General features: G+C 37.9%; 1 protein-coding gene across 3 annotated transcripts in view; it reads right to left on the reverse strand.

The window, feature by feature from the left end:
- Positions 1 to 14,113, reverse strand: part of STAG1 (STAG1 cohesin complex component) — a 416,143-nt gene that overhangs the window by 290,427 nt on the left and 111,603 nt on the right. For 2 of the 3 annotated variants that reach the window (XR_001739978.2, NM_005862.3), the window contains exon 2: positions 4,208 to 4,319. Coding sequence is in view for 1 of the 3 variants with exons in the window: in NM_005862.3 (NP_005853.2) it covers positions 4,208 to 4,236 (29 nt within the window). In the remaining 2 variants the exon portion in view is untranslated. Of the gene's footprint in view, positions 1 to 4,207; positions 4,320 to 14,113 lie in introns of those variants that run through there. The other variant, XM_047447229.1, reaches the window with a different exon arrangement.

A 14,113-nucleotide genomic window follows, 5' to 3' on the forward strand; every position in this document is an offset into this window, starting at 1 on the left:
ACAATGAATCATACTGCTTTTTCTCCTCACTACAATCCAAATAGGCCATGTTCAGTATAGACTATGTGTCAGTTTACATATGTTATCTATAATACATATGCACAAAAACCTTGTAAGAAGCATGTTATCTTCCTGATTTTATGAATGAGGAAATGAAAGATCTGAAAACCCGATAAACTTGTCCACAGTCGCACACTTAGTAAGTGGCAGAGTCCAGTTAGATCTCAAGATCAACCTGAATTTTCTATTTTCATGTTAAGATACTACAATGCAAATACTATGTTTCGTATTTATCTTGTGTGGACAAAATCTCCAAGTGCTTTTGATGCTTACAAGTGTCCAGGCAACTATAGGAGCAGGTTGGTTCTAGAATATAATTACTGACCCATTAGTGAAACTAACCTATTCTTCAGCAGTATTGTTTATTGATGCCCCTACCAAGAGTCAGAAAAGTACAATTTGTTTAATAATGCTGCCAACTGCAGTCAGCTTAAACAGTGAGAACTATTGCCAACAAACAGCTAATGCACTGTTATGTGTTAGTATGTGTATGTTTAATTATTAAGACATAAGAAAACAAATTCTAGGCTTTTGAAAAAGAAAATTTCGAGCAACAGAAAATATATAAGAATACAAGGAAAAGTTTCACTTTATCTCATCCTAACTCTGAATCCCATCTGCAGAATACCACTGTTAATAGTTTGACGCTGCCATAAATATTTAGGCTTTTGCATCTCTCTGTCTCTCTCTCTCAAAATATAAATATCAATATTTCAATTTTTTAAGTGTTACATACATGAGAATCTTCCATATAAATATTTTAGATTCCTGAATGGCACTCCATAATATGCACTGAACTTATTTAGCTACTTCCTTATCAATGAGCACTTAGTTTGTCTCTAGTTTTGCACTATTACAAACAGGGCTGAAATGACTGTTCTTGTACATAAATAAATCTTACTACATAATCAAGTTTCTCTTTAGGATATATGCAGTGAAAATGACAGGTCAAGGGGTATGGAAATTCAAACTTTGACCAATTGCTCTTCAAAACTCCTGCAAATGGCTAATGTTCACATTTATAACACTACTAGACATAAATTAAGAGCATGGAAGAGTAAGATCAAATCTTGTTTAAAAAATGATTTTGCTCCCTAGAGCTCTCTAAATTCTGTCTACCTCTTTCTATCTCCAGGGTAACTAGTTTATCATCTTTTCCCTAGATACTGCAACATCCTTCTCCTGACAGGTCTCCTTGTTTCTAGTGTTGGCCTTTCCCATCTAATACTATACTGCACCAAGTAACTTTCTAAGTATATAGCTTATTATATCTCTATCATGCTGATACGGTTTGGCTCTGTGTCCTCACCAAAATCTCATCTCGAACTGTAATCCCCACCTGTCGAGGGAGGGACCTGGTGGGAGGTGACTGGATCACGGGAGCAGTTTCCTCTATGCTGTTGTTGTGATAGTGAGTTCTCACGAGATCTGATGGTTTAAAGTGTGGTACTTCCTTCCACTCCCCCACTTCTCTCTCTCCTGCTGTCTTGTGAAGAAGGTGCTTGCTTCCCCTTCACCTTCCTGAGGCCTCGCCAGCCATGCCATGAGTCAACTAAATCTCTTTTCTTCATAAATTACCCAGTTCCAGGTAGTTCTTTATAGCAGTGTGAAAATGGAATAATACACATAGTGAAGAGAAAAAAACATAATTCTGAACATGACTTAGCAGGTACTGATATGATATTGTTCCTCCCTACTCACAGTTTATCTCATGTCACTCTCCATCCCCAGTGCTGGAGAAAAAAAAGGGGTGGGGGGAGGCTTTATTTCAGGCCTTCAAACATATCGCAGGGTCCTTGCATGACATAATCTCAGTCTGGGCCTAATAGCCTGCTCCCTTCTTCTTCTCCTAAACCCCACTTAAGACCTCAGTTCAACTGTCTCTTCCTTAGAAAAGTAGACTAAACAAAGGCATGTGTTAAAATTCTCATAATACCTCCTACTTTTCCTTCACAGCACCAATGATAGTTTAGAACTATGTATTTGTGATTATTTGATTTATATCTAACTTTACAAGCTTCTTTGCAAAAAGAACTAAGTCTGCTCTACATGTTATATCTACCCAGAACCTAGTAGGCTTCCCGGAATATAAAATGTAGTAAATGATAATGTTTTGACAATGCTTAATAGTAAACAGCACTAAGGTGACAAATCCATCAGCAATTACAATATCTAAGTAAGCCAAGAAATAATAAGGATAATCACTAGAGTGGTCTTTATAGTGTCTACATTTTAAAACCAAAATTGGACATCTCAATTTAACCAAGAGTACCATCTTCGGCTGACAGATCTAAACCAGAGCTCATTTATCCAGCTCCCAGATCACCACTGTCCAGTACCCACAGACATATTACAGATTTACATTCTTTTGAAAAAAATTCACTCACAAAGCATGATATATTAGATATAATGTCAATACAAACTCATGTAATACAACTTCAATTTAAATATAACCTCTGTTTCATATTTTATCAAAGAGCTATTAAAGGCCTACCTAATACCCAACAGTGTCCTAGCAGCAGGACATACAAAAATAAGGCACACAATGCAGTTTAGGAGATGGGTCAGAAAAAACAAGAGACAATTATAAAATGTTACATTAAGTACTTTTCTGGAGGCATAAGACCTGAGCTAAGACTTAAATAGATAGTGGCTTGGCCAGGTAAGGGCAGAAGTGTATAAGTACAAAGAAAAGAAAGAAAATACTATAAGGGGCCCTCCAAACTTAAATATCATATAAATATGGTATTTATACCATATTTATATATGTTCATATATTTATATATATGATATCATGCTCAGGTACAGGGGTAAAAAAGAAATAAGTAGGCAGAAATAAATTTTATCTCCCATATGTCGGCGAAAGGACAGGAGGACAGTATTGATGGTTTTTCAAGCGGTTTAAAGAAATTTGGATAGCTCTGTGTCTTAGAATGCTGGAAGGGAAAAAAAGAAGGCCAAGAGATCAATCAGAGGTTCTCTCTTGAAAATAAGGTATGTAAATGAACTGAGTAGTAATAATATATAAATAACTGCTTAAAGTGCTCATCACTTTTATTATATCTAAACCATTGTTATACAGAATCAAAGTATGCAGATTCCCGACTTGCATCATGATAAAAGCTATGAAAGGAACAATATCTGCCATTCCTGTGATCACATTTCCCAGAATAAGTCCCAATTCTAAATCTGGCCAGGCACAGTGACTCATGCATGTAATCCCGGCACTTTGGGAGGCTGAGGTGGGCAGACCACCTGAGGTCAGGAGTTCGAGACCAGCCTGGCCAACATAGTGAAACCCGTCTCTACTAAAAATACAAAAATTAGCCGGGCATGGTGGCACGTGCCTATAATCCCAGCTACTCAGGAGGTCGAGGCAGGAGAATCGCTTGAACCCGGAAGGCAGAGGTAGCAGTGAGCCGAGATCGCACCACTGCATTCCAGCATGGGCAACAGTGGAAAATTCCATCTCAAAAGAAAATAAAAATAAAAATAAGTCCCAATTCTAAATCTGTCCTTAACTCCAACAAATCTAATGGGACGCCATCAAAAATGTCAACTGGTGTATCCCTTACATTTCTTCTGGTAGCCGGAACACCTCAACAATCTCAATCTAAGGAAAAAGAAAGAATCATAATAAAAGAGCTGGAAGTGAGCAGGGAGGGGGGGTAGAGAAGGGGTAGAGAAAGAGTATGGTATAAGATAGGTGACACCAAACTATTTTTTGTAAATGGCCAGACTAAATATTTTAGGCTTTCCACGCAATACTATCACTGTCACAACTTGTAATACAAAGTAGTCATAAACAGCATGTAAAGGAATGAGTATGGCTCTCATCCAAAATTTTATTTTGCAAAAAGAGACAACATGCCATATTTGGCCCATGGGCCACAGTTTGCTGACTCCTGATATAGGACATTAACATCTTTTTTGTTGAATATCAGAAAACATGTTGACAGTTCAATAGCAAAAGCCATGAATGGATACGGTAATTACACACCCTACTACTACTTACACTGCAAAGATATTGTCCCAATATCAAAGAACATATTTGAAATGTATCATCGAAGAGAGCATTTTGATAAAGAAATAAGTTGTCCAAAATTTTCCTTAAAAAATATAAAAAAAAGAAAATTACAATACTTACTGTAACACTGGTAATTCTGAAGTAATCATTGCTGGAGAGGTCCTTTCACAATGCAGCAAAATAATCAAGTGCTGTACAACTCAAAACTTTTAAAATAACCTCAAAGGCAATCCTGTCAATTAAAAAAAAGAAATTATTTTAAAATAAAATGAGGATGACAAAATTCATAAACTACAATCAATCCACACCACTACCAGTGATCACACTACTTGGCATTTACCCAAATGAGCTGAAAACCAATGTCCACAGATGTTTATAGCAGTTTTATTCATAACTGCCAAAACTTGGAAGCAACTAAGATGTTCTCACTAAGTAAATGAATAAATAAACTACGCACATCCTCACAGTGAAATATTATTTGGCATTAAAATTAGCTTGAGAGCCTTGAAAAGGCATGAAAGAACCTTAAATATTATTAAGTAAAGAAGCCAATCTGAAAAGGATACATACTGCATGATTCCAACCATATGACATTTTGGAAAAGGCAAAACTATGGAGCCAGTAAAAGAATCGGTGGTTACCAAGGATTTAGTGGGTGGAAGGGATGAACAGGCAGATCACAGAAGATTTTTAGGGCAGTGAAACATGTGTGATGGATGTGTCATTACAGATTTGTAAAAACAGCAGGAGTCCAAAAACAGCAAGACACCAACAGCAAGAGTCAACCCTAATTTAAAGTAGCAACTTGGGGTGATAGTGACTTGTCAATATAGGTTGATCAGCTGATAAAAAATGTTCTCTCGTGCAGGACGTTGATAGTACGGTAGGCTGTGCACGTGTAGGGACAGAGAATATAAGCAAACACTCTTTACTTTTCCTTCAAATTTGCTGTGAACCTACAATGGCTCTAAAAAACATAAAGTCTCATATTTTTCAAAAGCAGGGGTAGTAGGACCTAACAGTCCACACTAGGCCATTATACCGTATCAAATGGAATAACACAGGTATAGTTACAATTCCGGACAGAAAGACAAAGTACAAGGCAGAATAAATATTTGAAGAGATATAATGGGGAAGAATGTTCAAAAAATCATGTAAGATATCAAAACAGATGTAAGATCAGAGAATTCCCAAGCAGAATACATCAAACTACACAAACTGCTAAAAACCACAGTTAAAGGGAAAATTCAAAAGGAAGCTAAAGAAATAGGATACATACATACAGAAAGACAAAGATCAGTATCAGTCTTCCTAATGGAAACTATGTAAGTTCAAAGACAATGGAGTAACATCTTAAAAGTACTGACAGAGGGGGAAAAAAAAAGTCAACCCTGAATTACATACCAAGTGATAATCTTTCAAAAAAATGAAAGGAGTCATACCATGGGAAATCGATGAGTAGAAAACTTCAAGAATAAGCCTCTCCAGTGAAACAACACTTGGGTTGACAAAAACTGAAATCAACTTTTACAGAATTCCTGAATCTAATAAAACTTACAAAGAGAGGGGTGCTTAACAAAGAAAGAAGCTGCAAAATTTGGTGAGAAGGCACTATGGCGTCTTTTGCTTACTTGCCTACCATCGCCCATTCCCCAACTCAACAGTGTCAATGAGGACAGCAGATCAAACTCTTGGTGCAACTTGCTGGTACCTGTGGGAGCAATACCAACTTCCTTCTCAAAAATGATAGCTGTGCATTTTGAAGAGATTCCCAGCTGGCATCTGCTGAAAGGATTTAAATATATATACTACACATAAGCTCTCTGGGGTAAGAGACAGCATACAAGACAAGCAGCAATATGTAAAGCCTTAGAATAAAGAGTCTAAGGAGGAAAATATGTTACGGACTAAGGGCTTTCAAAGACTCCCACGTATTCTGGGGAATTCAAGGTGCTACACGCATGCCCAAGGCTAAAAGCATGGTCAGAGGAGGCCTGAGAGAAGCATAGGCTTGCACCTCTAATTGATCTTTGAGCTCTGTGCAAGCAGAAGATGAAGACTAAGGCCAAGCTGCAAATGGCCAGGCTATTTATTGCAAAAATACTTCCGCAAAGAACCTATCTGCAAATACCCACAGAGGGTTTTTCCCTCTTTTGGGTGCCAATTCTTTAGGTAAATCTATCAGGTTACTGGTTTGACCACCAAGATGAAAAATGTCAGTGTCCACACAGGACAATAAAGACAGTCTTGGCAAAAGTAGTTGGGGGAGGGCGGGGAATCACTAAATAAACAGATGACTATAGATTTTAACAGTCAGTAAAATCAAACAGGGCATGGGGGAGGTGAAAGGATGATTCCCAGAGTGAAAACATTTTAATATTCAAAATGTCCATTTTTTTAATGTTAATGTTTGAATTTGTCCAGCAGGCTTTCCAGTTTCGGCCAGAAAGTACCCCCACCCCGGCCCCAAAATAAAAATTAAAAAATGTGATCATTGAAGTAAAAAAGGCAGTAGGATGACATAACTAAAGTGCTGAAAGAAAAACCATCAAAAAAGAACTATATAACCAGTAAAACTATCCCTCAAGGGAGAAATTAAGACATTCATAGAAAAATAAGAGCAGAAGGAATTTGTCCCTAGACATGCCCTACAAGAAATGCTAAAGGGAGGCCAGACATGGTGGCTCACGCCTGTAATCCCAGCACTTTGGAGGCTGAGGCAGGTGGATCACTTGAGGTCAGGAGCTCCAGATCACCCTGGCCATCATGGTGAAACCCCATCTCCACTAAAAATACAAAAATTAGCCAGGTGTGGTGGCAGGTGCCTGCAATCCCAGCTGCTTGGGAGGCTGGGACAGGACAATCACTTGAACTCGGAAGGCAGAGGTTGCAGTGAGCTAAGATTGTGCCACTGCACTCCAACCTGGACAACAGAGCAAAAGTTTCCATATCAAAAAAAAAGGGGGGGGGGGGGGTCAGGGGCACAGATATTATAGGCCGAGGCAAGAGGATCACTGGTGGGGGCCAGGAGTTCGAGACCAGCCCAGGCAGAATATATAGAGACTCCATCTCTACAAAAAAATTTAAAAACTGGCCAGGCACAGTAGCCCACGCTTATAATCCCAGCACTTTGGGAGGCTGAGGCGGGCGAATCACTTGAGGTCAAGAGTTTAAGACCAGACTGGCCAACATGGTGAAACCCTGTCTCTACTTAAAAAAAAAAAAAAAAAAAAAAAAAAAAATTAGCCAGGCATGGTGGCAGGCACCTGAAGTCCCAGCTACTCAGGAGGCTGAGGCAGGAGAATCACTTGAACCCAGGAGGCGGAGGTTGCAGTGAGCCAAGATCGTACCACTGCACTCCAGTCTCGGTGACAGAGTGAGACCTTGTTTCAAAAAATAATAAATAAATAAACATAAAAAAAATTTTAAAAAGGCAAAAACAAAATTTTAAAACTAACCAGGCGTGGTGGCACACACCTGTGGTTCCAGCTACTCTATTCGAGAGGCTGAGGTGGGAGGATCACTTGAGCCTAGGAGGTTGAGGCTACAGTGAGCCATGACTGGGCCACTACACTCCAGCCTGGGGTGACAGAGACCCTGCTTCAGCCCCCAAAACAAACAAACAAAAAAAAAACCAGGGCACCATATAATGGGGGGGTCCCCAATTCATTTCCTTACAAACATATAAAAAATCATAAAGTTATAAACCCTTAACAACAGAATCTCAAAATTTTTTTTTAAAAACCAGAGAAATTAGAATACTTGGAGATAAATGAAACAAAAACACAATATATCAAAATGTATGGGATGCAGCAAAAGCAGTGCTCAGAGGAAAATACAGTTGTAAAAATCAAGCTTTTAGGGAAAAAAAAAAAAAAAGCTCAAATAAATGACCTAATTCTACAACTGAAGAAAAAAAATACAAAGGGCAAACTAAGCCCAAAGGCAGCAAACTGAAGAAATAATTAGTGCACAGATAAACTATATTGAGATTAGAAAAACAATACAATCAATAAAACCACAAGTTTGTTGTTGGAAAAGGTAAACAAAATTGACATATCTTTAAATAAAATGACTTTTGAAAAAAAGAGAGAAGGGGCAAAAGAATACGGTAAACAACATATGTCCACAAATTTAGTAACATATTAAATGGACAAATTCCTAGAAATGCACAAATCGTCAAAACTGGCTCAAAAAACACAAAAAATGTGAAAAGAACTATAACGAGACACTGAATCAGTTATCAAAAATCTCCCCAGGAAGAAAAGCCCAGGACCAGATGGCCTTACTGCTTAATTATACCAAACATGGTTTAAAAAGAATTAACATCAATCTTCCAAAAAAGAGACAAGAAGGAACTACTTTCGAATTCATTCTGTGAGGCATTTCTGTAACACCAAACTACACAAAAACACTACAAGAAAATTACACATCAATATCTCTAATAAACATATATGTGAAAATCCTCAACAGAAACATCAGCAAATCAAAACACACAATGTGTAAAAAGAATTTTACATGAAGACCAAGTGGGATTTATCTCAGTCATGCAAGGCTGGTTCAACATTCAAAAATCAATTAATATAATACATCATATAAAGAGCCAAAAAAGAAAAACTACATGATCATACCAAAAGACAAAGGAAAAGCACTTGACAAAATCCAACACCCATTCATAATAAATACTCTCAGTAAATGAGAAATATAGGGGAACATTCTCAACTCGATAAAGAGTATCTCCAAACGCTGCAGCTAACATCACATGTAATGGAGAGAAACTCAAAGCTTTTCCGGTTAAACCAGGAAAAAAGCTAGGATGCTATTCTCAACCACTCCTTTTTCACATCACACTGGAAATCCTGGCTAATGCGACAAGAGAAAGAAAATAAACAAAAGGTACATAGCTTGGGAAAGAAGAAATAAAACTTTATTTCCAGATGACAAAACTGTCTATATAGAAAATCTGAAAGAACTGACAAAGGCAAAATAAAACAACTCTTGGAACTAATAAGCTATTATAGCAAGGTTTCAAGATACAAGGCTAATATATAAAAGTCAATCACTTTGCTGTAGACGATGAACAAATATAATTTTAAATGAAAAACACAGTATCATTTGCATTCACATCAATGAATTAAATTCTTAGGTGTAAATCCAACAAAATACGTAGAATCTATATAAGAAAAACAATAAAATTGTAATGTAAGAAATCCAGAGGCCGGGCACCATGGCTCACGCCTGTAATCCCAGCACTTTGGGAAGCTGAGGCAGGTGGATCACCTGAGGTCAGGAGTTCAAGACCAGACTGGCCAACATGGTGAAACCCCATCTCTACTAAAAATACAAAAATTAGCCAGCCATGGTGGTACGCGCCTGTAATCCCAGCTACTCGGGAGGCTGAGGCAGGAGAATCACTTGAACCCAGAAGGCAGAGATTGCAGTGAGCCGAGACCACGCCATTGCACTCCAGCCTGGGCACCAAGAAAGAAACTCTGTCTCAAAAAAAAAAAAGAAAGAAAAGAATCTCTTAGCAATGTATACACACACAGACATACAACGCAGGTGGTGGTAGTGGGGTGCCACATGATTTGCTAAGCAAATCAAAAATTATAATTATGACAATGATGTTATTTGTGAAGCCACTTTTCAACAGTTTCTGTAAGTGGTACTCCATCTACATAGAAGAGATAGACTCATTTACTATTTTTAATGGAATTTAACTATTTTACTCATGTTTATATCAAATCAAGTATATTAACAGAAAACTTTTTATTGAATATAACATACATGAATATACACTAAGTCTTAACGTCAACCATGGGTTCTTGGAAACTAAGAGTTAAAGCAAAATGACATGTAACAAAACCAATTTTAGCATAGGCTAACTGATATAAACAATAGTTAAGTTCCTACAGCATACTTCTGGTCACAAAAAAATCAGCAAACTTCTAAACAAACACCAAAACATTTAAAATATTAAACACTAAAATAAATGTTAAGCTTTACATATATTTAAGAAAGATTAATTTTTAACAAGTCAGATAATTATTTACCCAATTATTCCAGCTCAGAATCGCAGGTGGCCAGAGCCTATCCCAGCAGCTCAGGGAGCAAGGTAAGAACAAACCCTGGACAGGTCACCATTCCATCACACAGGGCACTCACATACATACCTAAACTACTCATACTAGGACAATTTAGACATGTCAATTAACAGGCACATGCACATATCTGGTATGTGGGAGAAAACCAGAGTACCCAAAGAAAAGAAATCCACACAGACATGGGGAAAATGTGCAAACTCCGCACAATGGCCCCAGCAAGCAATCTATTTTTCTTTCCCTCATCAACATTATAACAAAATGATATTTGACAGCCTACTGTATACTTAAATTCTCTGTAGCATAAAGGTTTAAGTAGCATCAAGAAAATAAAGTTCCAAACTCTTTTCCCAGTAAAATTTAGCCTGTGAGACAGATTTTGTAGCTCTTTCAGTGAACAAAAAGAATGCCAAAAATAAAATTGGATTTTCCAAGTTGCACAGCAATTCACACGAAAAGATAAATAAGTAGGAAACATTAAGACTCAAGAAAGAGAGGAGTAATAAATCTTTTGAAAATATCAGCCTAGAAACTCTCAAACATTAAGCAGACAGAAGGATATTTTAAGCCAAAACTGAATGATGTGCTCAATGGGATAGCGATGAGGTTCACTGGCAACAGCAGGTTAGATCATTATTCTGCTCTTTCTCTCTGAATGTTGTACTGTAAAAGACTATTTTTAAAATATCTCAGTAACATAAACCTTAAAATCAAAAGAAATGTAAGAGTAATTTAAGAGTTTCGGTTCTGGGGCTCAATTACCTGAGTTCTCATACCACGTATTCTACTTTCTAGCTTTGCAACTCACTATGCCTAAGTATTCTCATACATCAAACTGGAATAAAAAAAGAACCCATATAGCATACAGTTATTGTGGTAAGTGACTGGAAGAGTACCTGGAACTCCAGAATGAATATTAATTCACAGCTACAGGAGGAAGACAAAAGCATAAAGGAATGTAAGTTTCATGAGGGAAGGTATTGTTTGTCCTTTTTGTTCACTTCTACATATGTGTGAACACATTTTTTTTTTTTTTTTAAGATGGGAGGTCTTGCTCTGTAGCCCAGGTTACAGTGCAGTGGAGCAATTCATAGCTCCCTGCAGCCTCCAACTCCTGGGCCCAAGTGATCCTGGCCACAGCCTCCAACTCCTGGGCCCAAGTGATCCTGGCCTCAGCCTCCCAAGTAGCTGGGACTAAGTACACGCCACTATGCCTGGCTAATTTTTTAAAAACTTTTTGTAGAAACAGGGTCTCACTTTGTTACCCAGGCTGCATTTTCTTTTTTTTTTTTTGAGACAGAGTTTTGCTCTTGTTGCCCAAGCTGGAGTGCAATGGCGCGATCTCAGATCTCAGCTCACTGCAATCTCCGCCTCCCAGATTCAAGCGATTCTCCTGCCTCAGCCTCCCAAGTAGCTGGGATTACAATTACCCACCACCACACCCAGCTAATTTTTTGTATTTTTAGTAGAGAAAGGGTTTCACCATATTTGTCAGGCTGGTCTCAAACTCCTGACCTCAGGTGATCCGCCTGCCTCAGCCTCCCAAAGTGCTGGGATTACAGGCATGAGCCACCAAGTCCAACCTCACTTCTATATTCTTAATGCTTGAAACCTAGTAAACAGTTGTTGAATTAAAAATATGTGTGTGTATATGTGTTTATGGATATATTTATTTTTAAGGAGAGTACACAAAGTTAAAAACAAGGAAAGCTCTTAGAGTTAGCAAACTAATCAAAGTTAGCAGCTTTCTTTTAAAAAACAAAAAATCATGGCTGGGTGCGGTAGCTCGCGCCTGAAATCCCAGCACTTTGGGAGGCCTAGGCGGACAGATCACCTGAGGTCAGAAATTCAAGACTAGCCTGGCCAACATGGTGAAAACTCGTCTCTGCTAAAAATACAAAATTAACTGGGCATGGTAGCATGCGCCCGTAATCCTAACTACTCGGGAAGCTGAGGTGGGAGAATTACTTGAACCCAGGAGGCGGAGGCTGCAGTGAGCCAGGATCACGCCATTGAACTCCAGCCTGGGCAACAGAGGGAGACTCTGTCCGTCTCTAAATAAATAAATAAATGCATGTTATTGATTGGATTGCTCTAAATTTAAGCAGCATTAAAAATGTCACAGTCTTTAAAACAGCTAACAAGTAAAAATGAACCTCAAGACAATTAACTTGCCTTATCCTAAATCACCCTGCACTAAATATATGAGAGAATGCTCACACACACACACACACCTTCCTGTCAAAATTACAAGTATTTATGTTCCCATGCATATTATAAGAAAAGTGAGTCTGGGCAACATAAGTAAGACTCCCATCTCAAAAAAAGAAAAAAGAAAAGAAAAAAAAAAGGCCTTGGAGTCCCAGCTACTCTATTCCAGAAGCTGAAGTGGGAGGGTCACTTGAGGCGAGGAGGTCAAGGATGCAGTGAGCCATGATTGGGCCACTACCTTCCAGCCTGGATGACAGAGCAAGACCCTGTCACCAAAAAGAAAAAAGGAAAGTAAATTATTATGATTTTTAAAAACTACAATTTTCCCCAAATTCAAATAACCACTATCACTCAACCTCTCTCCAGTTAAAAATTACATGCTTTTAAATATTTTACAAATCAATCTACATACTCATACAAATAAGAATTGTGTGACAACTAATAGCTTCATTAGGAAAAGCATATCACTAGTTTAGTGGCTGTACATAAGGAACAATAAAAATATTCCAAAAATGTCCTCTGGCTTAAGAAAATAAACATCTACTATTAAAGAGATCCTAAAAGAATTAACTAACAGTACTTACGAGAAAACTGTCTTTTATAAATACAACAAAACCTTACCAAAATAAGTAAGTTTGTATAGCCCCATGATTTTCATACAGAAATCATTTCAAGCGTTCATATAAACAAACATTGGCACTACCACAGCCATAAGAAAAAATTACAACATTTAACAAAAATACACATGGTGTTTTTAATATGGTAAAGAAAGCATCACTGAAGACCAATCTTTCTATTTTCAATTTCCTTTAAACTATGTATGTGTGTGAAAAAGTATACATGTATATATTAAACCCACTAAATGAAACTTCCCATAAACACTAAAATTTCTCCCACAATTTATAACTCAAGCTTAAAGGCCTTATCTAATCAACCCCCTTTCCACATAATTACTACAAAAATCACTCACAAAAACCTGTAAGTTTTTGAAGAAAGAATATGTACCTATTGAGTTTGATGATGCAGTGAAAAATTCTCTGGGACCACAATCCAGAATAAATGAGTTCTTAATAAATTCTATGGCTAAATGAACGTTTTAAAATAAGGCCAAAATCAAATAAAAGATAACAAGTTGTAGTGGTTCATTATTTTGTTGATTCATTTAGGAAAAGTTATTTTATAACAAAAAATTCCGAACAAATATTGTTTATTGAAAAATAAAGTATCTAATTTTGTGTGGTTACTTTAAATCCAAAGAGAGCTATTTGTGAGTTCTTCTCAAAACTACTGTTCCACCATTAGATAACTTTTTTTTTTTTTTTTTTGAGACGGAGTCTCGCTCTGTCGCCCAGGCTGGAGTGCAATGGCACGATCTCGGCTCACTGCAACCTCCACCTCCCGGGTTCAAGCGATTCTCCTGCCTCAGCCTCCTGAGTAGTTGGGATTACAGGTGCCCGCCACCATGCCCGGCTAATTTTTGTATTTTTAGTAGAGACAGGGTTTTGCCATGTTGGTCAGGCTGGTCTCCAACTCCTGACCTCAGGTGAACCGCCCGCCTCAGCCTCCCAAAGTACTGGGATTACAGGCATGAGCCACCGCACCTGGCCTGTTTTGTTGTTTTTTTTTTTTTTAGACAGAGTCTTGCTCGCCACCCAGGTTGGGGTACAGTGGCGCGATTTTGGCTTGCTGCAACCTGTGCCTCCCGGGTTCAAGC

Source organism: Homo sapiens, chromosome 3, assembly GCF_000001405.40.
Source record: "Homo sapiens chromosome 3, GRCh38.p14 Primary Assembly".
Lineage (NCBI taxonomy): Eukaryota > Metazoa > Chordata > Mammalia > Primates > Hominidae > Homo > Homo sapiens.